The 25,683-nt window shown below is 43.3% G+C and overlaps 1 protein-coding gene across 2 annotated transcripts, besides 5 other annotated features; it reads right to left on the bottom strand.

Moving 5' to 3' along the window:
* Positions 1-401: 401 nt before the first annotated feature.
* MGST3 (microsomal glutathione S-transferase 3) lies at positions 402-25,304 on the bottom strand. Of its 2 annotated transcripts, XM_047421030.1 has the most exons (7): positions 25,245-25,304; positions 24,264-24,307; positions 6,574-6,697; positions 5,451-5,524; positions 4,503-4,560; positions 2,187-2,259; positions 402-1,170 (listed from the first exon to the last, which is right to left on the bottom strand). In XM_047421030.1, exons 2-7 carry the CDS (start codon positions 24,296-24,298, stop codon positions 1,034-1,036), a joined length of 501 nt encoding a protein of 166 aa, XP_047276986.1. In that variant the 5' UTR covers positions 24,299-24,307; positions 25,245-25,304; the 3' UTR covers positions 402-1,033. The 2 variants fall into 2 exon arrangements, with proteins under 2 accessions (XP_047276986.1, NP_004519.1); NM_004528.4 differs by lacking the exon at positions 24,264-24,307.
* Positions 4,925-6,124: an enhancer, noted in NCBI's record as "MED14-independent group 3 enhancer chr1:165619651-165620850 (GRCh37/hg19 assembly coordinates)". NCBI's record gives its function as "activates an origin of replication core promoter dependent on BRD2, BRD4, P300/CBP and CDK7 cofactors, and independent of MED14, by STARR-seq in HCT116 cells {active_cell/tissue: HCT116}" and the evidence as "EXISTENCE:reporter gene assay evidence [ECO:0000049][PMID:35650434]".
* Positions 20,247-20,336: an enhancer, noted in NCBI's record as "active region_2018". NCBI's record gives its function as "activates an Ori minimal core promoter by ATAC-STARR-seq in GM12878 lymphoblastoid cells {active_cell/tissue: GM12878}" and the evidence as "EXISTENCE:reporter gene assay evidence [ECO:0000049][PMID:35858748]".
* Positions 20,917-20,966: an enhancer, noted in NCBI's record as "active region_2017". NCBI's record gives its function as "activates an Ori minimal core promoter by ATAC-STARR-seq in GM12878 lymphoblastoid cells {active_cell/tissue: GM12878}" and the evidence as "EXISTENCE:reporter gene assay evidence [ECO:0000049][PMID:35858748]".
* Positions 24,630-24,799: an enhancer, noted in NCBI's record as "active region_2016". NCBI's record gives its function as "activates an Ori minimal core promoter by ATAC-STARR-seq in GM12878 lymphoblastoid cells {active_cell/tissue: GM12878}" and the evidence as "EXISTENCE:reporter gene assay evidence [ECO:0000049][PMID:35858748]".
* Positions 25,230-25,469: a silencer, noted in NCBI's record as "silent region_1500". NCBI's record gives its function as "represses an Ori minimal core promoter by ATAC-STARR-seq in GM12878 lymphoblastoid cells {active_cell/tissue: GM12878}" and the evidence as "EXISTENCE:reporter gene assay evidence [ECO:0000049][PMID:35858748]".

Genomic DNA, 25,683 nt, shown 5'->3' with positions numbered 1-25,683 from the left:
GGAAAATGCATGGATTTTAGAGTCAGGACTGGGTTCAAATACTGTCTCTCATCCTCACAGGCTATTGAGCATTTGAAAAATGGGTAGTGCAACTGAAGAACTGCTTTTTTATTTAAATTAATTTAAATTTAGATGGCCACATGTGGCCAATTGGGCAGCGCAGGTCTAGACACTATATTTCCTATTAAGGTAGTTTATGGCCACATCAGTGTTTTGGAGTAACTATCTCATTCTGCCAACTTGGCAGTGTTCTCTAAACCAACTGAAATCTTCTAAGTCTTCCTCATTTGTACGTAGGCAATCAGATCTTTGTTTCTAAATGTAGCAAGTTACATTCATCTCTGTTAACCTTCATCTTACATTTAGTCTATTGCTTCAGTTTTTAAGCAACAGAAACAATCTTTAATAGAAACTTAATTTTTATTTATTTGAGACAGGGTCTTGCTCTGTCACCCACGCTGGAGTGCAGCAGTGTGATCATAACTCACTGCAGCCTTGACACCCTGGGCTCAAGTGATCCTCCCACCTTAGCCTCCCAAGTAGCTGGGACTGCAGACATGTGCCATCATGCCTGGCTAACTGTTGTATATTTTTTTGTAGAGATGGGGTTTTGCTATGTTGCCCAGGCTGGTCTTGAACTTTTAGGCTCAAGCATTCCTTTGGCCTTGGAGTATCTGTAGCAAGTGATAATGCATATCCTGAGAGCTAGAAGATTTTTCTTTAATTTTTCATCACTGTGGCATGACTATACCTACATCACCACAATCAGACTTTTTCTCAACCTCACATACTACAGAAGCATCTGCTGGAAGGGTGAGGAGAGGGCACAATACTTGTGGCTCCTTTCTCATCTAGTAGGACTAGGCTACTGATTTCAGATACAGACTCAAACGGAAATGAGTGGTAAGAGTCAGGAGTTTTAGGTATGAGGCTGATGCCAGGTAAGTTTTTATTATATTTAGAAAAAAAATGTAACTGGAAATAAAGGTAAGTCATTTAAAATGAATGAGAGTTTTTAAACCCCTATAATTCTTTAATGGCAGCATTTGGGTCCACTGCCCAAGCCACTTTTAACCCAACCAAGATGCTGGAAAGCAGAGCACACAGTTGTGCCCACCAAGCCCAGGAGGGCGATGGACCCCAGGGCTCCTCGACTACGCTTGCTGGGTTCTGAAAAAGAAGAAAGAACAGAAGTTACCAGGAGTGCTCCAGAATTATGATGCTTTCAACATTCGCAAGCCATTCTATCATCGCATCTGAGGTTGTACATTAGACAAACTGGCCTTAGGAGGTTAACTAACTCTTTAGCCTGAAGCTGTTGGCAAGTCAGATACCACATGCCAAGTAACGTGCCACAGTAGTATTGCTTGGATCTTAGAAAATTATGGGATAATAATTACAGCAACTTTGCTCTAGGACCTTTGGAAGGAGTTCCCTCTGTTTCAAAGAAGTACAGCTAAAAATGGCTTTTCCTCCTCCTTACTCAGATATAGGAGGTATAGTAATGGTGAGGCTCTGGAGTCGGACTGCATGGGTTTGATTCCTAGTTTACTAGTTTACGCTTAGTAGCTCTGTGACCTACAGCTTTAATCATGCTGAGTCCCAGTTTCCTAATTTGTAAAATGCAATAATATCTGTATTACAGAATTGTTGTAAGGTTAAATAACATATGCAAAGTTCTTAGAGTAGTGGTTGGCACATAGAAAATGCTCAATAAAAATAAGTTTCGTTACAATTGAAAGATTAATAAAAAGAAAACAGACCTTTCACCTAAATATCAGGTGACTTCCCCTTTTCTCAAATTCCCAAGAAAAAAAATATAGTAGCATAAGATTTTATTTTTTTTTGAGATAGGATCTTGCTCTGTCTCCCAGGCTGGAGTGTAGTAGTGTAATCATGGTTCACAGCAGCCTGAAACTTCTGGGCTGAAGCAATCCTCCCGCCTCAGCCTCCCAAGTAGCTGGGACTACAGGTGTGCACCACCACATCCGGCTAATTTTTGTATTTTTTGTAGAGACAGGGTTTCACCATGTTGCCCAGGCTGGTATCCAACTCCTGAGCTCAAGCAATCTGCCTGCCTTCGCCTCCCAAAGTGCTGGGATTACAGGTGTAAGCCACTGTGCCTGGCCAGCATAGGATTTAAAATTTTAAAGTTGTTTCCTTGGCAAATGTCAATATATACTAACCTCCCGTGTAATAGCCATAAGCATAAAGAACTCGTCCAACAATCCAGGCCAAGCCCAGGCCAGAAGCTATACGCTAAGAAAAAAGGGCTACATTAGTATTTGCATGAAAGAAACAAGCAAACCTTTTTTAACACCTAGGGTTGATTACACAATATGTTAGCAAAAAGTTAACAATTTGATGATTTGGCCAACTACTCCCCACGCAAATTAGGTAGAATTAAGTTAGTTTCAGCGGGAAAATAAAATATCTGTGATTCTTCTATGAATGGCTTGGCTTGTGGACCTGGGAGATGAGTATTGGCCTTCTCCTAGACAGGTGGGATAGAAGGAATCCCCCCACTTGCCCTGGGCATCTTGGGGAACTTGTGTCAGAGCTCAAGAGAAGGACATGTGGGCCAGCCGGTCTCAGGGCAGGCCAGAAAAGAGAACTGCCCCAAAGTCAGGACTAGGGGAAATGCCGTTTTCTCAAATGGGCCTCTGAGCATGAGATTGACTGAAGACTCAGCTGCTGTTCTATGTGAAGTCAGTCACTGGCAGGGCTGGGCTCAGGTGGTTCTGCAGGCTACACTGGGGGTGTAGCTCCACTAGAAAGAAGGGGAGCGCTTCTCCCAGAATACATGGTCTTCGAGGGAAAAGTCTCCCTGTTCCCAATGTCCTTGAGAAGAGAGAATAAAAACTTAGATGAAAAATCCATCCCTTTGGCTGTCATGCTGGGGTGACTTCCTTGGTTAAAATAAGCAAGGAGAGAACACAGAAGACAGCATGTGAGAAGGCCGCCTTCCCCAGTGTCTTTCCCACTCAGCAGTGCTACTGTTAGGGATAAGGTTACTGCATCAGGGTTTTTGTTTGTTTGAGTTGATTTTGGGTAACATTAAATGTCAACAGGAGGGTGAAACAAATGAAAATAACACCAGTCCCTCAAGTCACGATATAGCAGCTCTAGTCTCTGCCAGGCCCTTCTTTACTATAATGTTGCCTAATGACTGGCAACCTAGGAACAATTGTTAGGTGCTTGTCCCCAAACTAGCTCTTATTTTTCAGAACTACCCATAAGGAATGGGATCCAGGGATGTGTGATAGGAATGGGGATGGAGTGGGGACACCAAATGAGGACTAATCTAGAGACCTGAGCTATTCAGATCAGCTAGTCTAGTCACTTGCTAGGAATGGGGATCTTTAGAGGCACCAGAAAGATACATTTTCTAAGAGATACAAGAGCAGTAGATGTTTCTTTGAAAAAAATGCAGGCCTTCAAGGTCATAAGCAGTAGATATGCCATTCTGGCAGCTTTTTAACAAAAGTACAAGGCATTCAGGATGAACCAGATGGTTAGGAAAGGCTTAGAACCAGAAGTCTGAAGGGCCACTCTGGTCAGAACTTGGTTTCAGGAGATAATCTGTCCTCAGAAAAGGGGAACACTTCTGTCTAAGACAAGACCCAAATGGCAATTAATTAGAGGCTGATAAACTTGCTTTATTTAGATATGTTTAAGTGCAGACTAAATCTCCATCCCACAGGGCTATCTATACTGCAGAGGCCTGCAAGTCCCCAGTGACCTGCCTCATCACCCCTCTGCCCTCTGTTGCTGCCCCTCTCCTGGCTCCATTGGCTTCTCACTGCTCACCAAACAAACCAGACAGGTGCCTGCCTCAGGCCTTGCTTGTCTTCTGGCTGGAGGTTGGGGAAACTCGTGCAGCACCTGCTCCCTCACCTCCTTTTATACTTGCTTAACTATCATCTCAGCAAAGCCCCCCTCCCTGACCACCCTATTCAAAATTATCCCACTCCACATCCCCTTTCCACCTTCCCCACTTTGTTTTCTTCTCTGCACTCACCACCTCCTAACACATGATGTAATTTACTTAGGTTGCTTCTTCTCTGTGACCACCCCACACCCCACAACAAAAAGGCAAGCTCTATGAAACCAGGGGTCTTTGTCTGCTTTGATCACTGCTTTACCCCAGGTGGTGAGTGAAAGTTTGTTGTGTGAATGAATTACTATAACAAATGAACTCTTATAGACATGAAACTTAGAACCAGACAGACCTGAGTTCAAATTCTAATCCTTCTACTCTGTAGCTATTTGACCTTGTGAAGTTTAAATAGTATATGAGAGGCTTTTCCTTATCTGTAAAATATGAGGAAAATCCCATCTCCTTTAAAGAACTCTGTAAGAAATAATTGAATAAAATCCTTTTAAATATGCAGTGCCTAGACACTGAAGATATTCATTAAATGTTTATTTCCTTCTTCTGTCCCTGATAATAGCTCAGTGAACTACTATCCAAATAGATGAACACCTCCTGGAAAACTTACCGGGTGGTAAACACCTCCAACAGCTAGAAAAAATAAGAAGGGAGGATACACTTCCAACCTGGAATTGACAGAAAGAAACTTTTAAAAAGTGCCCTTTTTAAGTATGCCTGTGTAGAATTATGAATTTTTTTTTTTTTTTTTTTGAGACGGAGTGTCTCTGTCACCCAGGCTGGAATGCAGTGGCATGATCTCAGCTCACTGCAACCTCCGCCTCCCGGGTTCAAGTAATTCTCATGCCTCAGCTTCCTGAGTAGCTGGGATTACAGGTGCGTGCCACCATGCCTGGCTAAGTTTTGTAGAGATGGGGTTTTGCCATGTTGACCAAGCTTGTCTCCAACTCCTGACCTCAAGTGATCCACCCACCTCGGCCTCCCAAAGTGCTGGGATTACAGGTGTGAGCCCACCTCACCCAGCCAGCACTATGAATCTTTACATCTTCCTTGCCAAGTTAGAAGCTTGGGGGTAAAAATAAACATTCACCGCAGGGAGAAGACCTGGTCACTATCATCCACCCTCCTTTGCTCTGCATGGGATTAGAGGTCACTTGGAACATGCTGAGTAAAAGGACCTCACATCTAACAAATGGAAGTGGAAGGTCCTGGTGAGTCAGAGTGGGTTTCCTTACAGCATTCAAAACCTCTTCACTCCCTAGGCCTGGGAGAGTCAACATCGGTTTAGATGGGTCATGCTGCAAAACTGTAGTAGGTAATGCAACCATGAAGACATTTTTTGAAAAGAATATCCCGAAATCCCACCATTCCAACCACTCTTAAGTTTGCTTAATAGTCAATGTGTTCACATACATAATTTTTGAATACTTTTAATGAGGTGCCCATGATTGTCACCATCACTATGACTCAGCAAATACAGCGCACTAAGGGCTGAGGTGTTAGACAGAAAACACCCACTCTGCAGATGTCTTTGGTGCCCGGCAGGGCCGACACTCACGTGTTCTGGTGGGCTCGCTGAATGCAGTTGAAGATGTGCCCATTTTCAGGGTCCGTGCTGTACATGATAGGATACTGTCACAACAAAGCACATACTGATCAGATGGTCAAGAGGAGCATTCAGTGTTGAAAGTTAAAATGAACCTTAAAAACAATATATTCCAAAGTATCTTCTTTCACACCCTTGATAGATGACCATTCAATTTCTGCTTAAATATTTATGGTGACAAGGGTCTCAATTCTCAGAAGCAGAGTCAATGTTTCTATTAAATATCCAGGAATAAGAATGTATGTCTGCGCTGTAGTTGCACAAGGGAAAGAGGCAGCTTTGCGCCAAACTCCGTGCTTTTCATTGACGTTAAGCATCAATGGTGGATTTCAGATGCATTACAAAGATACTGTAGGGAAATAGAGCCTTCCTAAGAGTCATCAAATACCACATCCTTTTAAGATTTCCCTTAATAGAAGAACAGAAATTGAGTGTGTGAGAATCTTAATGGAAGTGTCCACTGGAAGGGAAAAAAAAGAAGAAACTAAATATAAAAACTTAAAAGAAGCTCTAGTAAGGGAGTTTAATTATTAAGTTGCTAAACAGAAACAGACATTTAAAACCACTCACCAGGGACAACTTTGGTAATTATCCCTTCTAGATCACCTAAAACTAAAGGAAGTGTTTAATAGACCACCTTCCTATGTCTAAGTCCAGGCTAATCTCAACACCACATACCTCTTTTCTACTTGGAAAACAGGAAAATCACCATAAGACATCATTTTTAAAGTGGCACACCATGAAACAATATTGCTATTTAACCCTCTGTGGAAAATACAGTAACTCTCTTCCTAGCAAATAGCTCCAAGCAGAAGTGTACTATTGGAATCCCAGCATTCCTGGTCTTTCTACCGAAGAGACAAAGTCAAACAAGATGGAAACTACTCCCTAGCAGGGCCCTGTATTTCTTGCCTCTTTCCTACCATGAAGAAGCAGAATCGCTAACACAGTCCTGAAACTGCCACTTCTCACAACTAGCTCCTTGCCTCTCCCTCCATGGCTGAAAATAAGTTCTTGGCTAAGCCTGTGGCCCCCAGACAAGCCTACAAGGGCACCAGCTTGTGTTCCCACTTACCTCCACTTTGTACTTCTTGCGGGCCTTGGAAACATTGATGGCTAGGTGGGCCACCATTATAAAGCTGGCAGCACCAGTTAGAAGCACAAAACCATATTCCTTAGAGAGGACAGCCATCTTGCGTCTGTGGAAGAAAGAACACGTTGGGACGGCCCCCAGCACTGTGGCTATTTCATGGTGTGAAGCCTTAGGGAGCAAGATGCTTTATTACTGGCAAATGAGTAAATAGAGACCAAAAAAAGGTATGAATCAATCTGATGTTTCTGAGAAGTCATCAAAGACAGTACCATATAAAATAATTTAAAAATTACTCAACTATGCAGTCTATACACAGAAAAGTATACAGTCATGTATCTTTTTTTCTCTTTTGTGCCTGGGAGATTCTGATCAACATTATGAGATTTATCTACACCACTGCAGTAGTCGTTGCTGTAGAATAATATAGCCAACAAAAATCACATTATTGAAAAAATATTTAACATGGTAAAATGCTAAAGTATACATTACATAGGGAGGGGGAGGGAGGGAGTGAGAGGAGCAGGACATGGTGGGGAGAGGGATGGAGAGGGAGAGAGAGGGAGTGGGGAGGGAGGAGAGGGAGAGAGAGAGAGAGAGAAAGCAAGAAAGTGAGAAAGCAAGAAAGCGAGCATCCAAAATAGTATATGCACAGTGATTCCAAGTTTTTTGCCTTCAGACATGGGGGACACTGTGAGGGCAGGACTCTGAGGCCTCCCTTCGATCCTGGGGCACGTGCGGGTGCAGCAGCAGACATCTCACACAGGTAGGGGAAGGCCCAGGTTGAGTACTCTGAAAGCAGAGCATGGCTCCTGAGCCTATGAGGCTTTGGGCAGCTCCTGAGGAACTCAGATTGCCCATCAAATCATCACTTCAAAGGCTTCCACGAGCCAGCAGCTCTGGTGTGTGTTCTGCCGTCAGCTTTAAAATTTCCATCCCTGGTAATTGCCTGGCTTCAGTCCCTGCTTTTAACCTAGGAGAGTTACCCTGATCTGGAATGTATCTAATCATCCTAACAAACCAACCAACAAGATGGTAAATCCTTATTTTCAAAAGAGGTTAAGTAATGTTTCCAAGGTCTAAAACAGACAGTGACAGACCTGGGATTCCCATTCAGATTCATTTGGTTCCAATATTCCCTTTCAGTATCCCTTGAAACTTTAGAGCCAAACTGACACTGTGGTCAGAGCATCTTCCTTAAAACAGAATTTGGGATAGGCATGCAGCTCAGTTCATTAAAAGTAAGTTTCTCTTAGCACAGCAAAATAGGCCTAACTGCTTTTTTTTTTTTGAGATGGAGTTTCACTCTTGTCGCCCGGGCTGGAGTGCAGTGGCACGATCTCGGCTCACTGCAACCTCCATCTCCCGGGTTCAAGTGATTCTCCTGCCTCAGCCTCCCAAGTAGCTGGGATTACAGATGCGCACCACCACACCCAGCTAATTTTTGTATTTTTAGTAGAAACGAGGTTTTGCCATGTTGGCCAGGCTATTCTTGAACTCCTGAGCTCAGATGATCCACCCACCTCGGCCTCCCAAAGTGCTGGGATTACAGGTGTGAGCCACCGCACCCAGCCTAACAGGCCTAACTTCTTAAAACCCCTCCTCCCCACCATGATTCACAATAATTCTCATCAGTTTTCCCCTTCTACCGTCTTCACTCTGAGCTGCTCTCTGAGGCATGCCCGCTGCCCCTCCGGGGGCTGGGGGGCACACACTGCAGCGGGCTGGTTCCACAGGTCAGCAGATCCTGGCCTGTCTGTGCAGCTGCAGAGAGCAAGGAGTCTCTGGCTTCCCTCCAAGCTTCCTTGCCCACATTCTCTTCCCAAGTGTAGAAAGTCAGCATGAGGAGGAAGCCACAGTAGTTATTAAAAGAAAAACAGAGTGTGAATTCTGAACACCTCTTTGAAAATAAATAAAAATGACTGAACCTCCAGCCTATCCTTAAATTCAACACATCTGGGGCAAACAGGTCATTTAAAATAAAGCTGCCACCTAAGCATGGTGGCTCACACCTACAGTCCCAACAATTTGGGAGGCCAAGGTGGAAGGAACACTTGAGGCCAGGCAGCCTGGGCCACACAGGGAGACTCTCATGTCTACTCAGGAGGCTGAAGTGGGAGGATCACCTGAGCCCAGGAGGCTGAGGCTGTAGTGAGCTATGATTGCACCACCTCACTGCAGCATGGGGCAACAGAGCAAGACCTTGCCTTAAAAAAAAAAAAAGGTGTCTCTCAGAAGCAATAAATGTAAGGACAATAAAATTAAGCATATTTGCTTTAGGTTAAAGTTTGCAAATCAGTAGAGTGAGCTTTCAGACTCTAATCTTTGGACAGGATGCTGGGCTCCCTGGCTATGTGCAGGGCTACCTTGTGTCAGCCCAGCACTTTTCAGCTCACTTTTACTCTTCACAAAACTCCTATTAGCTCCACTTTATAGAAAAGGAAATAGAGGCTCAGTAAATGAGGGCAGAGCTAAGACCAGAGCAGGTTTTAGAATTCTCCCCCAAAACACTCCAGCTAGCCCAGGTAACACATTCAAATTTGGTGGCTTAGTCACTGACTTCTATTTTTCTTAATTTTAAGAGGCTAGGGTAGGTAGATGGCAAGATAAGAGAAGTGCCTCTTGCATAGATGCCTGTCACAGCAAAGCAACTGCTCTACAATCCACAGTTAGAATCTATAATTACAAATTAATATTTACTACTGAGCTCCTCTTTTAAAGTATAAATGCAATCTGTGAGGTTAAACTTGATGGGCATTTGCACCCTAGTGAAAGTTACTCTCCTCACACTTTGTTAAGGTATGTATGGCGTTATGAATCTGGATGATGACAAGCAGAGCCAGCAACAGTTAGGACCTTGGAAAGGCAGTGAATTCACAGTAAGGGTACCCAGAGTCTGATGCTACAGCAGTGGTTTGCAGAGGATGCATACTCAGTCATAGGGACAGTGCAAGTGCCTGGGGCAGCAGCGTGACTGTTCTCCCTGAGGGTCCCCCGCACGAGCCATGGACACGTCTGCATAGGTGCAGGAGCAATGCCTGAAAAGCTGCCTGCGAGAAGGGCAGCAGAACAGCCCTCCCTGATACCTCCTTGCACTCCTACCAAGTGAGGTGTCCTGCTTTATACACCATAACAACCTTCACTTAAAACAGAGCAGGACCACGTTTGTCTGGCATCTTCCATGTCAAGCACAGTGTGCACGCTCATAGATACTTACGGAATAAATGATTTGAGCTGCAACTGCAGGTGTCTTTCAGAATGACCACCACCACGCACCCCGTCCCCTGAATACACACCTGAAATAATCTCTATCATCTGGCACAGTGTCTGGTATAAAGTATGCATCTAACCAATTCAGGTTTCCGTTTCTTCCCTCAATATCTATTGAAACCAGGGAAGAAACTGAATGTATTTAAGAAAGACTGGTTTATGACTAATCCAGAAAGAGAAATCTTAAGAAAGAAGAATTCAGAACACAGAGAAAACTCTTGTCGTAGTTGTGGAAAACATAAATGCAATAGGGAGTGAAAAATCATTAAATCTTCTCTTTCAAAGAAAGAATCAGCTTAATTAAATCAACATTCAAAAAAACTATCATTTGCTACATCATTATTTTCTGAAGATTCCAAGGCGAAGAGATAGATATTCCCACTCCTTAGAGAGTGACTTTTGTGTGTGCGGGTGTGCACCAGGAAGGGGATGCAGCTCAGTTCACAGTGGCCACACCCTAGGCAGTCGCAGCCACACCCTGGGTTGTGCCAGCCCCAGAGGTAGCAGATAGCTTCCAGGGACAGGGTGGAAGAACTGATAGCTGGCACCCAACCAATCTCTGGCATGAGCACTCATTTGAACCGCAGACCACATTTTGCTGATTATATACCTACTCTGTGTCACCAGAAACCCTTTCATGAACCCAACAAGATAAAGTTCTTGAGAGTGGGAACTTTGCCCTTGACTTTCTCTTCTACGTAGTGCTAGATACACACAGTCCAAACAGTCCTTTCTGAGCTGAACTTTAATACAGGTGTAGATGACTTTGCAATTCACTTGGTTATATCGTAGCATTTGTTAATCATTATGCAGTTTCCTGGGTTAGTCATAAACCAGCAGTATAAATTAATATTTATGAATTGAAACCTTCTACCACATGCAGCCATGCGTTTCAGTGATGGACTGCATATTTAACAATGGCCCCATAAGACTGTAATGGAGCTGAAACATTCCTATTGCTTAGTGACATCATAGCCACTGTGCCATTGTAACATCGTAGTACACTGTATCATCCACATGTTTGTGGTGATGCTGGTGTAAACAAACCTACTGCGCTGCCAGTCATATAAAAGTATAGCATGTATAATTATGTACAGCACATAACACTTGATAATGATCATAAGTGACAGTTACTGGTTTATGTAGTTACTATACTATACTTTTTAGCATTATAGTGTATTCCTTCTACTTATTAAAAAAAAATGTTAACTGTAAAACAGGTGCAAGCAGGTCCTCCCTGAGGTATTCCAGAAGGCCTTGTTACCATAGGAGAGGACAGCTCCACACATGGCAGGTGTGTCCATGTGACCTTCCACTGGGGCAAGATGTGGAGGCAGAAGACGGATACTGATGATCCTGACCCTGTATAGGCCTAGGATAAGGTGTGTGTTTGTGTCTTAATTTTTAACAAAAAAAGCTTAAAAAGTAACTATGAAATAAAAAGAAAGTTTTAAAAATAGAAAAAATTTCACTTCCAGTTAGAAACCTACAAAGGCCATCAGCTCAAAGTCAGTATGGGTGTTCTGAACTGAATGGTGTTGCTTCTTTAAAAATAAAAAAAGTATTTAAAACATAGAAAAAAAAATCTTATAGAATAAGGATATGAAGAAACAATTTTTGGCCGGGCATGGTGGCTCACACCTGTAATCCCAGCACTTTGGGACGCCAGGGCAAGCAGATCACTTGAGGTCAGGAGTTCAAAACCAGCCTGGCCAACATGGTGAAACCCTGTTTCTACTAAAAATATAAAAAAATTAGCTGGGCGAGGTGATGAGTGCCTGTAATCCCAGCTGCTCGGGAGGCTGAGGCAGGAGAACTGCTTGAATCCGGGAGGTGGAGGTTGCAGTGAGCCGAGATTGCACCACTGCACTCCAGGCTGGGAGACCCAGCAAGACTCTGTCTCAAGAAAAAAACAAAAGAAAACAAAAAACAAAGAAACAATTTTTATGCAGTTACAATGTATTAGTGTTTTAAGCTAAGTATTGTCACAAAAGATTCAAAAGTTTAAAAATTATAGTAAAAAAGCTTCAGTAATCTAGTTTAACTTATTATTGAAGATAAAATATTAAAAAATGAATGTAGTGTAGCCTAAGTATACAGTGTACGTAAGGTCTGCAGCAGTGTACAGAAATGCCCTAGGCCTTCACACTCACCACTCACTCACTGACTCATCCAGAGCAACTTCCAGTCCTGCAGGCTCCATTCATGGTAAGTGCCTTCTACAGGTGTACCATTTTTTGTCTTTTATACCATATTGTTACTGGATCTTTTCTAAGTTTTTAGATATCTTTAGACACACAAATACATACCACTATGTTACAATTGCCTATGGTATTCAGTACAGTAACATGCTGTACATGTTTGCAGCCTAGAAGCAATAGGCTAGACTATATAGCCTGGGTGTGTAGTAGGTTATACTGTCTAGGTTTGTGTAAGTACACTGTACGATATTCTCACAATGACAAAATCACCTAACACATTTCTCAGAACATATCTCCATCATGAGTGAACACATAACTGTAGTTAAAAGTACCTAGTTTTCCCTCTTCTACACTGTTGAGGGAAGTATAAGATAGAACCATCTAGAGGACAGCCTGGCAATAGGTAATTTTTTTTTTTTTTTTTTAACACAGGGTCTCTGTTGCCAAGGCTGGAGTATGGTGGTGCTATCACAGCTCACTGCAGCCTTGACCTTCTGGGCTCAGGTGATCCTCCCAACTCAGCCTCCCAAGTAGCTGGGGCTGCAGGCACACATTGACATGCCCAGCTAATTTCTGTATTTTTAAAATTTTTTTATTTTATTTTATTTATTTTGAGACAGTCTCGCTCTGTCGCCCAGGCTGGACTGCAGTGGCACAATCTCAGCTAACTGCAACCTCTGCCTCCCAGATTCAATCAATTCTCATGCCTCATCCTCCCAAATAGCTGGGATCACAGGCGCCCGCCACAACACCCGGCTAATTTTTTTATTTTTTAGTAGAGATGGGGGTTTTGCCATGTTGGCCAGGCTGGTCTCAAACTCCTGGCCTCAACTGATACGGCTGCCTCAGCCTCTCAAAGTACTGGGATTACAGGTGTTAGCCATCACGCCCAGCCTATGTATATTTTTTCTTTTTTTTTTTTTTAAGAGATAGGATCTTCCTATGTTTCTTAGGCTGGTCTCGAACTCCTGGGCTCTAGTGATCCTCCCATCTCAGCCTCCCAAAATGCTGGGAATACAAGCATGAGCCACAGCACCTGGCCAGTAATATTCTTTTTAATATTAATATTCTTTGGCTCATTAATCCTACTAGAAATCTATCCTGAGGTAACAATCAGAAATGCAAACAAATTTGGTTCAAAGATATTTACTTCAGCAATATTTATGATGGCAAAACCAGAAATACTACATATGTCCAATAATAGAGGGCCAGTTAAATAAATAATATACCCGTTAAATAGAACATTATACAACTGTTAAAAATGGTGTGTACAAATATTAAAGAGGTTAAAACAGGCTCAATATACAGCAGGTTGAGTGGGGAAAAAAGAAAATAAAAGTATATGTAGAATAATCTTGGTTTTCTTAATAATAGAAAAAAATTAAGAAAGTATTAAAATCATAAGCATAGTTATTTCTAGATGGCTAGATTATAGATTTTTCTTTGTAATTTTCTGTAATTTCCAAAATGAGCAAATACATATCTAAAAAAACTTAGAGTGGCTTGACAATCATTATTCATTGAGAAGACAGAGGAACAGGCAGTATGGAATGATGGAACCGAAAGATCAGACCTGACTTCTGGCTTGAGTACCACCACTTATCTGCTAAGTGCAGTTCACGAGACAGCTTTGCAGTTGAATGCAGTTTTGGAATCAAATTGTCTGCATTCAGAACCTGGTTCTCATATTTCCTAGTTGAGTGTCCTTGGGAATATTACTTAACACCTTTCAGCACCTCAGTTTCCTCACTTGTTAAATGGAGATACTAATATAACCTTGGAAGGTTGTTGAGAGGATTAGATGGACATACTGTCTATAAACATTCATCATGATGCCTGACACATAGGAAGGACTCAGTAAATGTTATATATTATGTTACGTTACATATGCTAATGTTTGGTTAACTGTCCTTGACCTGACTCAACGGGGATGTTTGGCTAAATGATAATGAATATACATTTTAGAATTTATAACTGCCATTTTAAAATAGCAAAGTTTAGAACCACATATATCCTCTTCCTTTTCTGAACTCTCAGCAGCCAGCCATGTTAAAATATATGCTATCATGTGAAAGGCAGAAGCAGCCAGAAGGAAGCAGGATTTTAGCACTGACTATGGACATCCGGAAGCTGCAGTCATTCAAACTCTTGCTGCAGCCAGACACTGCTCAGCACTGCATGAGGGTGATCGTGCATTCATTTACTTATTCAGGCTTACTGAGTGCCCACTATGTGCCACTCACTGGGCTAGTGCTGGAGACGAACAGGGAACAGCCAGAGGTTGGTTCTTTATGAAACTCATTTTCTAGCAGGGGACACAGGCAAATAAGTAAACAAGTACCCAATTCCAGATTTTTCCCTTCCTAGCAATAATCACAAACTAGGTATAACACAATAAAACAAAAACAAAATAAATGGGTAGGGAAAGACAGAAATAGGATGAAAGAGTTTCTATTCTTACTTTCCTTATTAGCAATTGCAGAGGTAGCTGCTCCTAGTTAACTGTTTGTTGGCAGTCTTAAGTCAAAATAGATCAGTCAAGAGAACATTAAAGGTTTAAAAGAAATTTGAATTATCTATTTTTTTAAATTAGAAAGTTTTTGTCACTTATTTAAGGGTAGAGATCCTAAATGTTTTTACTCCTAGTGGACTTCAATACTGTTTTATGATTCATCTTTTCCTGTGGGAAATCTACAAGACTAGAGATAGCAGGAATTGAGGAGTCAGACAGACCTGTATTCATACATAGCCCCTGCAAGCTTTAGGATGTATCTAATTTCTCTACAAAACAGGGAAAATACTACCCATTTATATCACAGTGTGGTTTGAAGAATTAAATTAGATAAACTAGATATGTACCTGGTATAAACAATAAATGTTGGTCCAAATATGAAGAAATAAATACTGGTAACTGTACATGTCTGTCCACATATGCAACAGTTCCTAAATGAGGATATACTGGTTTTTCTACAAATCAGTTGTATGCTCTTACACAATAGTTCTGATTTTGTTTAAAATAATTCAAATTTGGCAAAAGGCTGGTCTAATTAGATTGCAAAATAGAGTTTCCTACCGTAGACAGCATAATGAATCAAAGAACACTTAATTCATTTATTCAACCAGAATATATAAAGCACTTGCTGTCTATGCCAGGAACTGCTGAGGGGTGGGGATGCAGCAGTGAACAAGAAAGGGTCCTGCCCTCAAGGCCCTGACCTTCGAATGATGACAGGAGACTGACAACAAACATGCAAACAAAAAACAGCTTCAGGGAGTGGGAACTCTTTTTTTGTTTTGAGACAAAGTTTTGCTCTTCCCCCCAGGCTAGAGTGAAGTGGCACGATCTAGGCTCACTGCAACCTCCGCCCCCTGGGTTCAAGTGATTCTCCTTCCTCAGCCTCCCGAGTAGCAGGGATTATAGGTGCCCACCATCACACCAGGCTCATTTTTGTATTTTTAGTAGAGACGGGGTTTCACCACGTAGGCCAGGCTGGTCTCGAACTCCTGACCTCAGGTGATCCACCTGCCTCAGCCTCCCAGAGTGCTAGGATTACAGGCACCTGGCCAAGAATGGGAACTCTTCTGGGGAAAACACACGGCAATGGCATAGAGACTGGGCAGGGCTGTTGCATCAGGATCCCGGCTGGGAAGGCCTCCTTTGTGTGGCATTGAATATAGTATACCTCTCTAGATGGACTATGTGCTCTTTGAGGACAGAGAGCGTGTCTCCTTGCTTATATTTTTTATAGCAACTTGCATGAAGACAGAAACTCAGTAGAATGCTGCTGTTCTATATCCTAGATCAGTGGTTCTCAAACTTTGGTGGCATTAAAATCACCTGGAGAGTTTGTTAAAACATACCTCAGTCCCAGAGTTTCTGGTTCAGTCATGTTAGGTGGGGCCTGAGTATTATCATATCTAACTAGTTCCTAGGTAATGCTGATGATGTTGGTCAAGGACCACATTTTAAGAACCACTGTTCTGAGCAAAAACAAAATTTGCAGGAGGTGGTGATTCTATCTGATTCAAAACCACAGTCACAGTCTTGTCTTGGTGGTTATATTCTACTACTATCTTTGGAGGCTCCTGAGGTGCTCCTTCTGTACCACCCCTGAAAACAGAATGGGGCTGATGAGATCAGAGACTGTTGTGAAGAGCAAGCTCCAGCTAAGCTCTTCACAATTACACACTAACAGTGTGCCCAGCAGAAGACTGACTTCTTCTTTCAGCTTTAACAGAGGTTCGAGACAACAAAGCAAGTGTGTAAGCCAGCTCAGTATCTTCAGAGTCTCTATCCTGTGACCACCATTGGGTTACCAGATCTCACTTCATGGTCATGGTCACTCACCAGATCAGATTTTCCCATAGTCAAATGAGTCAGAGTTCTAGGTTCTCCATCCTTCAAAAGTAATGCTCATTATGCTACAGAATGACCTCTCTGGGATCATCCCTTCTAATACCATGGATCAGGCATACCTCAACTTCTGAATGATTAGAAACATGACTTCAAATGAAAGGCCTATTTAATGAATCAGTAGGACTTCCAGCCAACTTCTCATGGAATTTTTCATCCCATCTGGCAGAAACAGCAAAACTGAAAATATCACTACTACATATATAATACCTAACTATAAGACCTGGTCCCATAGAGTGCTTCTTTTGTTTTGTTTTGTTTTGAGACAGGGTCTTGCTCTGTCACCAAGGCTGGAGTGTAGGGGTGCTATCTCAGCTCACTGCAGCCTCTGCCTCCCGGGTTCAAGCAATTCTCATGCCTCAACCTCCAGAGTAGCTGGGATCACAGGCACATGTCACTACACCCAGCTAATTTTTGTATTTTTAGTAGAGATGGGGTTTCGCCATGTTGGCCAGGCTGGTCTCGAACTCCTGACCTCAAGCAGTCCACCTGCCTCAGCCTCCCAAAGTGCTGGGATTACAAGCATGGGCCACCGCGCCAGGCCTAGAGTGCTTCTTTTATGGCAGGCACTGTAACAGAGTTTAGATATTTTAACACTTTCCATCCTTACAACAATCCCATATGATAGTTACTATTATTATCCCCATTCTATGGATGAGGAAATGGAGGCAAAGAGAAATTCAACAATTTGCCTAAGGTCCCACAGCTGATGAGTGCACAGCTGGTGTCTGAATACAGGCAGACTGATGCCAGTGTCCATGCTTTTTGCTACTAACACACTACTGGGTTTGTCCCTTACTCAGAAGTTAAATCACCTCTTCCCCCAGTACGGGAAGCACCGAGGGGAAAGTCCTCTGCAACGTTCAATTGAAGGCAATTGAATCCTGCTGCACCACAGGCTTCTACTCCAGGAGAGAAACAGAGCCAGGGCCCAAGAGCATAGGGGAGGGAGAGACAGATCCACGATCGTTGGAATACTTTACATAGAGGATCATACCATCTGCAAAGAGAGACAGTTTTACTTCTTCCTTTCCAATGTGGATGTCTTTTATTTATTTTTTTTTCTTGACTGATTGTCCTGGTTAGGGGCAATGCAATGTTGAATACCAGTGGCAAGTGCCGACATCCTTGCCTCTTTCCTCATCTTAGGGGGAAGCATTCAGTCTCTCTCCTTTAAATATGTTATTAGTGGCTGGTTTCCACAGATGCCCCTTTTAAGAATACTTTAGAAACCTAATTATTTCTAGAATGTGGGTTTTTTTTTTTTTTTAAGACGGAGTCTCTCTCTGTCCCACAGGCTAGAGTGAGTGGCAGAGTGCAGTGGCACGATCTTGGCTCACTGCAACCTCCACCTCCTGGGTTCAAGTGATTCTCCTGCCTCAGCCTCCTAAGTAGCTGAGATTACAGACATGCACCACCATGCCCAGCTAATTGTTGTATTTTAGTAGAGACAGGGTTTCGCCATGTTGGCCAGGCTGGTCTTGAACTCCTGACCTCAAGTGATCCACCCTCCTTGGCCTCCGAAAGTGCTGGGATTACAGGTGTGAGCCACCGTACCTGGCTGGGTTTTTGTTTTGTTTTGTTTTTGTTTTGAGACAGGGTCCCCCTCTGTCATCCGGGCTGGAGTGGAAGTGGCACAATCAGGGCTCACTGCAGGCTTGACCTCTGGACTCAAGCAATCCTTCTGCCTCAAAGTAGCTGATATTACAGGTGTGTGCCACCATGCCCAGCTAATTTTTTGTATTTTTAGTACAGACGGGGTTTCGCTATGTTGGCCAGGCTGGTCTCGAACTCCTGAGCTCAAGCAATTTGCCTCTCTCAGCCTCCCAAAGTGCTGGGATAAGAGGCATGAACCACTGCTCCTGGCCCTATAATGTTTTAAAAACACAGCAGCACTTCTATTTGTAACTTTTACATTTATCAGTGTATTACTTGCCAAACATGATTGTTTTGGAGTACATTATCAAGTTAGGGGAAGAAAACTAGGAACAGTATTTTGAAGCAAGCAGGGTATAGGACGTGGGGGGTAGCAGAAAAGCCCCGGGCCATGGTAGGTTTTCAGGGGTAGATTAGGAGACTAACATGCCCTGGTAAGCAGCAGGGCTCTGACGTCCGTGGGTGGTAGAATAGCAAAAACTTTTCAGTGTAGCCAGAGTTAGCAGACACCCAATGGGTTTTAAGTAAGCTACAACACACACATTTGCAAAGTTTCAGTTTAGGAGTGATCAGACTTGGGCTTAAGATGAGGCAGTGTTGGTCTAACTCCTAAAACACATGCTCCATTCCAGCATTTGAGTTAGCAACACAGGGGTTCATTATGACATCTGGCTAAGGTACTTAACCTCTAGAAATTTTACTGACAGAGTTTCCTGGGAACACAGCTATTCAAATACCAAAATGTTGCTCAACCTTTCCTCTAATTCTTGCTTCTGCCACCATTTGACGTATCTTACTGGGGCAGGGTTCCTTTGGTTGCAAGGCTTACCCAGAAAGCTTCCTGAACTACATCCAATAGAACACTCCTGGGGTAAAGGTCTCCTTCACTACTTCCCAAATTCCTCTTGGCTGCCCATCAGAAATTCCCCAGCACACAATCAGCATTCCACAAACAAAGCAAAAGGCAGGCTTTATGGATTTGGGTACCTGCCTCAAATAATTTACCACTTCTGAGCCATGAAGTGACACTACCTTTTATTTTACTAAATGACAATGAGATTCTTAAGGGAGAGAAGATTATGTCTTTCAGCTCTCTCTCTTTGCTCCCAAATAAATAAAATCCAGCTTTGACAAAAGTAGTCCCTACTTCTGTGTATGATATTGCTCTCCTCAAATTGTACTGCAATTTCTCAACTGCTCTTTTTTTTCTTTTTAATGTGTCCAGGGATGGGACAATGACAAAGCATTCACAGATTAACTTGAAGCCATTCTCCAATGTTTCATTAAAATCCTTATTCGGCTGCCTGTGCTATTCCAATCTTCCTTACATGGCAAAAATCAATATTTTAATGAGAGTAACACACAAGGATAGTCACATAAAGGGCTAGTCTGATCATACCAAAAGGACTTCCCTGAGTCCCAAACACCAGACGGTAGCTTAGAACACTCTGAGGTGGTGCTGAGGGTCCACTTGGCTCACTTAAAGCTCCCCTGGATAGTTGTACAGCCTAACTTCTGCATCCAGATGTTTCCACGAAGGAACAAGCCTCAAAACCATCTCCAGCCAGGGCAGCTGACCCTCCATACAATGCTCAGCGGAGCTCACACAATGCTCAATGGAGAAATTAAAGAGCCTAGAGGGAAGTAACATAAAAACAATTTTTTTTTTTTTTGAGACGGAGTCTCACTGTGTTGCCAGGGTGGAGTGCAGTGGTGCCATCTCAGCTCACTGCAACCTCTGCCTCCCAGGTTCAAGTGATTCTTCTGCCTCAGCCTCCTAAGTAGCTGGGACTACAGGTGTGTGCTACCACGCCCCGGTTAATTTTTGTATTTTTAGTAGAGATGGGTTTTTACCATGTTGATCAGACTGGTCTCGAACTCCTGACCTCAGGTGATCCACCCACCTTGGCTTCCCAAAGTGCTGGGGTTACAGGCATGAGCCACCGTGCCTGGCCCATAAACGCAATCCTCTTGCTCATTACACAATGTATATACGTACTAAAACATCACACTGTATCTCATAAATATATCCAATATTATATATCTATTAGAAACAAAGTAAAACTTAAGCTGGGTGCAGTAGTGCACACCTGTAATCCCTGCTACTTGGGAGGCTGAGGTGGGAGGACTGCTTCAGCCTAGGAGTTTGAGTCTAGCCTGGGCAACATGGTGAAACCCCACCTCAAAATGACAACACACACACCCACACACAAAAACTTTAAAAATGTAATTATCTGTTTCTATGATAGGACAGAAAAGGAGAGTCATGGGATTTCTTTGGGTTCAGACTACATTTTCAGAATGCTAGTTCCAGTCCACTTCTACATTAAACAGATGCTAAAATCTGTTTGAGCGCCAAACCTTCATGACAGCCAGATTTAAATTACACTTAAAAGAAGGAACAGAAACCTAGGTAATGAAAAGTAACTATCCCCCGACAATTGCATTGCATATTCAGTAGATTGTTCCCTAAGGGCTAAAAACAAAAAGTTGAATAGAAATCATATTATTTATCCAGCACTTGATTACTGGTTCAAGTAAGGCAAATAGCAGCAAGCAGGTCCTAGAGTGGGTCTTTCACAGTACCTCACAGTCCATAGTCTTCAATATTCATCAATGTTGCTGGTGGAATATTTGGAGAGTGGAAGCTAACTATATGTTAGGAGGATGGAAGATCTGTCCCTTTAAGAGATAAATATGTTATAATCCAAATATATTCAACTGTATAGTTAAATAGCCATAGTTTGGCCATATAAAATATTCAAGTTTTAGATGTCGTTTTTATTCCAACACTTTGGTAAACTGTTGGTACTGAAAACAATTGCTTAATACATGGCTGCACTGGCTGGGAGTGGGGGAGGGAAGATCAGCAGGATGCTCAAGTTCCAGTGAATGGTTCTTGGTTATAGAGCACAAGCTTGCACTCACACGAACTCTGTTGAAACTCTGTTAAAGCCAAATAAGCAAATTACCTGCTTTCTTCTTCTCTGGAGTGTGCCTTCTGTGTAATAAGGCACTAAACACACATGCCTGATGAAATCTCCTCTGAGAAAAAACTGGTAATTCTGTTCTTCAGGAATCTAAGAATACTAGATTTATAACAAGACAGAATAAATTCCAGGTTCCCCTGCAGGTATAAGGACAAACTTTCCCAGATTCTTGACACAGAAGGTTCTGTGGGAGATACCTAACCTAGAAGCCCTGGGCTTTGCTAGACCCTTTGGAGCTGAGCTTCCCAAGAGATGTGATCCCAGGGACAACCCACTGGATGTTTCCCATGGTCTGCAGGCAGCAACCTCAGAGGGCGGGGTGGAGGGGGAGGGGAATGGTGAGAAGCCATGGGATACAGAAGGAAAAATAAAGACAACATCTCATAATGCATTAAATGAAGCTGATATGATAAATTCAATGTCGGACAAAGCATTTTACCTAAATGGGATGCTTGCCTCAAGTCCATAGCTATCATCTTCAGTATTTTCTCAGAATGATTCCTTCCCTTATTCATCCTTTACTAAATGCCATGTTCCACTCAAGGGGCAGGGCTACTATGAGAATGATCAAGAATGAGAAGGAAGGTCCTGACTCTCTAGAATACACAGTTGAGAGTGGGGGGGAGGGAGGGAGGGAGAGGGAGGGAGAGAGAGGGAGGGAGGGAGAGAGAGAGAGAGCGCATGATTGAGAGAGAGCACGAGTGAGCATGCAGTCAGGGAAGACAAAAACACAGCAGGACCATACCATAAAACATAAGGGTGACATTGCGACAAAGGATCTGAAGAGCATAAAGTGATATGTGAGAGAGAACACAGGTAAAGAAAACAGCAAGAGCAGAGACTTGGAGACAGAAAAAGGCTTGACTTGTATGAAGGAGAGAAAAGAGTCCAGTGTGTCTGAAGGGTAGTGATATAGACTAGAGGAAGAAAAGTAGGAGAAATCAATTATTATTACTTATTACCACCGTGCACAGTATTTAGTAAGGGGCAAACCTTGTTCTAAGCAGTTAGTTCATCAGTATTAACTCATTTAGATCCTCACAGCATCCCTATGATATTACTCCCATTTTGCAGATGAAGAAACGCAGTACCAGAAAGGTTAAGTGACCTGCCCAAGGTCACACAGCGATCACAGAGCACAGCCAGATCCCCACACCCCCAAGCAGTCTGGCTCCAGTTTGTGCTCTCAGCCTTTTGCTATATTGTCTCTCAATGAGGTTGAAAAGCAAGTTTGACCACACCTGACATCTTTTGAAACATTTCTATGTCCCCAGACCCTCTCCTGAGTACAAAATACATTAACAAGAAGAGAGAGCAAACAATTAACTTCAATTTTGCCACTGACTAAAGCCTGAGATGTTTCAAATTGGAAGGAGAAAAAAAAAAAAAAAAAACTTTGGGAAAGTTCCAAACAAGGAATGTTTTCTTTTTAATGAGTGTCAGCACTGCAGTATGACAAAAGAAGTAGAGATTACGAGAAGGAAAAAACTTCCTCCAATCTTTCAGGCATATAGGTTTGCAAGGAGCAAAGTAACACAGAAACTGGCACTTCATTTATATATCATGTCATATAGCTGTCCCTTAACTGGCATTACATAGGAACCAAGAGTCATTGAGAAACTAAGCTATGACTTCCAGAAGGAAAAAAAAAAATCTCGAATGAGTCACATTGACACCACTTGGTAATTTTCTATTACAAGAAATGCAGGCAGACTGTAGTTAATTTGTAGCAGCTGCTGAATGCCCGTTAGGGTACCAACCACCCCAAAGGAAGGAACCACCTAGGCTGCTGGCTTTTGCCTGAAACAGGGGTTCGACCTTTTCATGCCTGTCTACACTTAGAATGAAGCTGTGGTACAACCGCTCCCATTGCTTGCTCATTTATTTATAAAATAAAATATCACTTACTTATTTTTAAAGGGTGGAATAAAAAAATAAAAAAATTAATTTTTGCTTTAAAAAAATAAAAAAAAATGAAGGGTGGAAATAAGGCAACTAAATCGTAGAACGCAAGTTCCAGTTAATGAACAGATCAACTCTAGAAATAACTCAGAAGGTAACAGCAAGATCTATGATTCTAAAGGATAAAATCCTTAAAGGCATTTGCAAATGCATTTGAAAGATAGTACAATTTTCCTGTTGCCTAATTACAGCGTTTCTCCTCAGAGGCAGGTAGGCAGGTAGGTACTGTAAGAGCGAGTGACAGAAACTCAGGAATTTTATTTTACATAGCGATAATCTACTTGCTGCTAACTGCTAAATTTTTTGTTCAGGAAGATGGTAAGCTTACAGTAGCATTAATAAATTGAGCTGCAAAAACCGTAGCAGTATATTCTTCGAAACAAATATTGCTTTAAAATGCTAGATGGTTCATGGTCAATTGTGGTCGGTAATGGTGTTCTAAATATAGATTCAGAAGATTTAAGTATAAACATAGGGCACAATATGTTTAAATACAGATAGATGTGCAGTAGGCACTGAATTGCTTTTGACAGATTGATTTGACATCCACCTCATTCCAGACTGCTCCAGGGGCTTTTTAGCATTTCTCTGAATAGTGGGTAAAGCCCTTCTTTCCTGTATGTTCCTTCTCGGTGCTAATCTCCAGGCGAGGAGGATCTCTTCCAGGATTGTGTCTTTTCAGAACTCTAAGCCAACAGGAAGAAATCTAAATAAAGCGGAAGGCTGCCCTTCTCCAGTTTTGTTCCTTAATCTAAGGAGGCCCCTGTAGCGCAGTTTCTATAGTTGGCGACAGTCTCCCTGCAGATTTATATATAGTAACATTGGTTAAAAAAAATCACTTGACAAAGTTTTCTATTTCCGTAACATTGTGTCAGGAGGGAAGCTTAACGGAAAGTCTTCCCAGGGATGAAAGTATTTGTTTCTATTTTATATGTTAGTTTTAACTCCTTAAATTCATCTCCTATGAGAATAAACATTCTTGATCTGACTCAATGTGCTCTCTGAATTCACTGAAATAAAATATAGCCTGTAACTCTGACCAATAACCTGGGGTGCCTCCCAGAACTGCTGGCTCCAGGTGATCTACAGATTTCCCAAGAGAAGCGCTGCAGCTCCTACCCACCAGCAATCTAAAATCTGCAGCAATTCCGCAGGACCACACCTAGGCCCAACAGCACATACCTGCAGAGCCGGAAGCGCCTTCCCCTCCAGGGCATCTCCTGTCCCCAGGGAAGGAATTAAAGTTCTAACCCCTGCCTCTCCTTCTACCCATCCTAGTATCTGCTTTTCCTTTACCTCGTCTTCCACACTTACTTGCCCCCGACGCTATTATGTAGCTTGTAAACTCGTGACTCTCAAGGAAAGTATCAGCAGAAGCCACAACTTCGGGGAATGACTCACTAAGGAGTCTCCAGCGCCTTCCACCGCCCTGCAACTGCCCCACTACTGTAGCCCTACGGCTCCGTGCTGCCACCCCACATAAAGAAGGGGCATTTTCTGAAATCCAAGGAAGAACCTGAAGAGTCCCCCACCCGCCTAGAGGCGTCTCTTGCTCTAAGTCAGCGGTAGGAAATGACCACCTTCCCAGTACAAATGGACAAACGATTCTAAGAGGCAGGAGGAAAACAAACACAATTCCTTCAGAGGCTCTCCCGACCGTCCCTAGCAACACATCCCCACCGCAGCGGGTGCATTGCTCACAGGCCACTTCTGAAACCAGTGTTACTGATCAGGCCTGCACAACCACTCCCCCGGCAGTGTCCGGCTCGCCATCCTCTGCGCCGGAACAGCAGAGGGCAAGGTCGGGTGGTCTCCGGAAGGCAGAAAGGTGCCCCCAGACTGCAGAGCCCGGGGACAGCAGGAGAGGAAAGGAAGGAATGGAGGAAGGGTTGACCTTGAGAATTTTCCTGAGTTACACATAAATAGGTCGGGCCTCGCTTAGACGCTCCCAACCCACTCCACCAGGGAAAAGATGCAAGGCAAGGGGAGAGCAGAGAGGGTGGAAATTCAGATCGCTAATTTACTGATAAGGGTGGGGGGAGGTTAGAGACAGCGGGTCTCTATTCAGCTCGCATAGGCTGAAATATGGGAGTGCCCTGCGCAAAGGCTGAAGTGCCCCCGGCGGCCCGGTGCTCGTGGCTGCCCGCAGGTGCTAGCACTCACCTGGATCACCTTCGAACAGCTGGAGCAGAACAAAACTGCGCAGCGCGGTGTGGGTGCGGCGCCCTCGCCTGGGGCGGGGCTAGATGAGGCCAGAAGCAGGCCCCGCCCCAGCCGACCAGCGCGCGGCCACGCCCCCAAGGCGGGGCTCCTGGCGCTGGCGCGCGCTGTCTAAGTTGCCAACTCAGGGCCACTGGTTGGGAGGTGGAGGCCTAATTTTCTTCCTGCTCATGGTCGTCCAGCGATTTACTCCTCTCATTCTCAAAAACATATATCTACTCCCCCAGGTGCCTTCGTGGCCATCTTCCTAAACTGTCCCAGCCAGGTCATACCTCCCGGATTGGGTTTGCAGAACAGTGGGACGTGAATAATTTGTCCCCAGCAGAGCCACCGTAGCGGTTTTAGGCGCTCTGCTGTAAGGGCGAAGCACGGGCATGCAAGG

Source organism: Homo sapiens, chromosome 1 (genome assembly GCF_000001405.40).
Source record: "Homo sapiens chromosome 1, GRCh38.p14 Primary Assembly".
NCBI classification, from domain to species: domain Eukaryota; kingdom Metazoa; phylum Chordata; class Mammalia; order Primates; family Hominidae; genus Homo; species Homo sapiens.
Note: the sequence above shows the minus strand (reverse complement) of the source record. Positions and strands in the feature narration are given on the sequence as shown.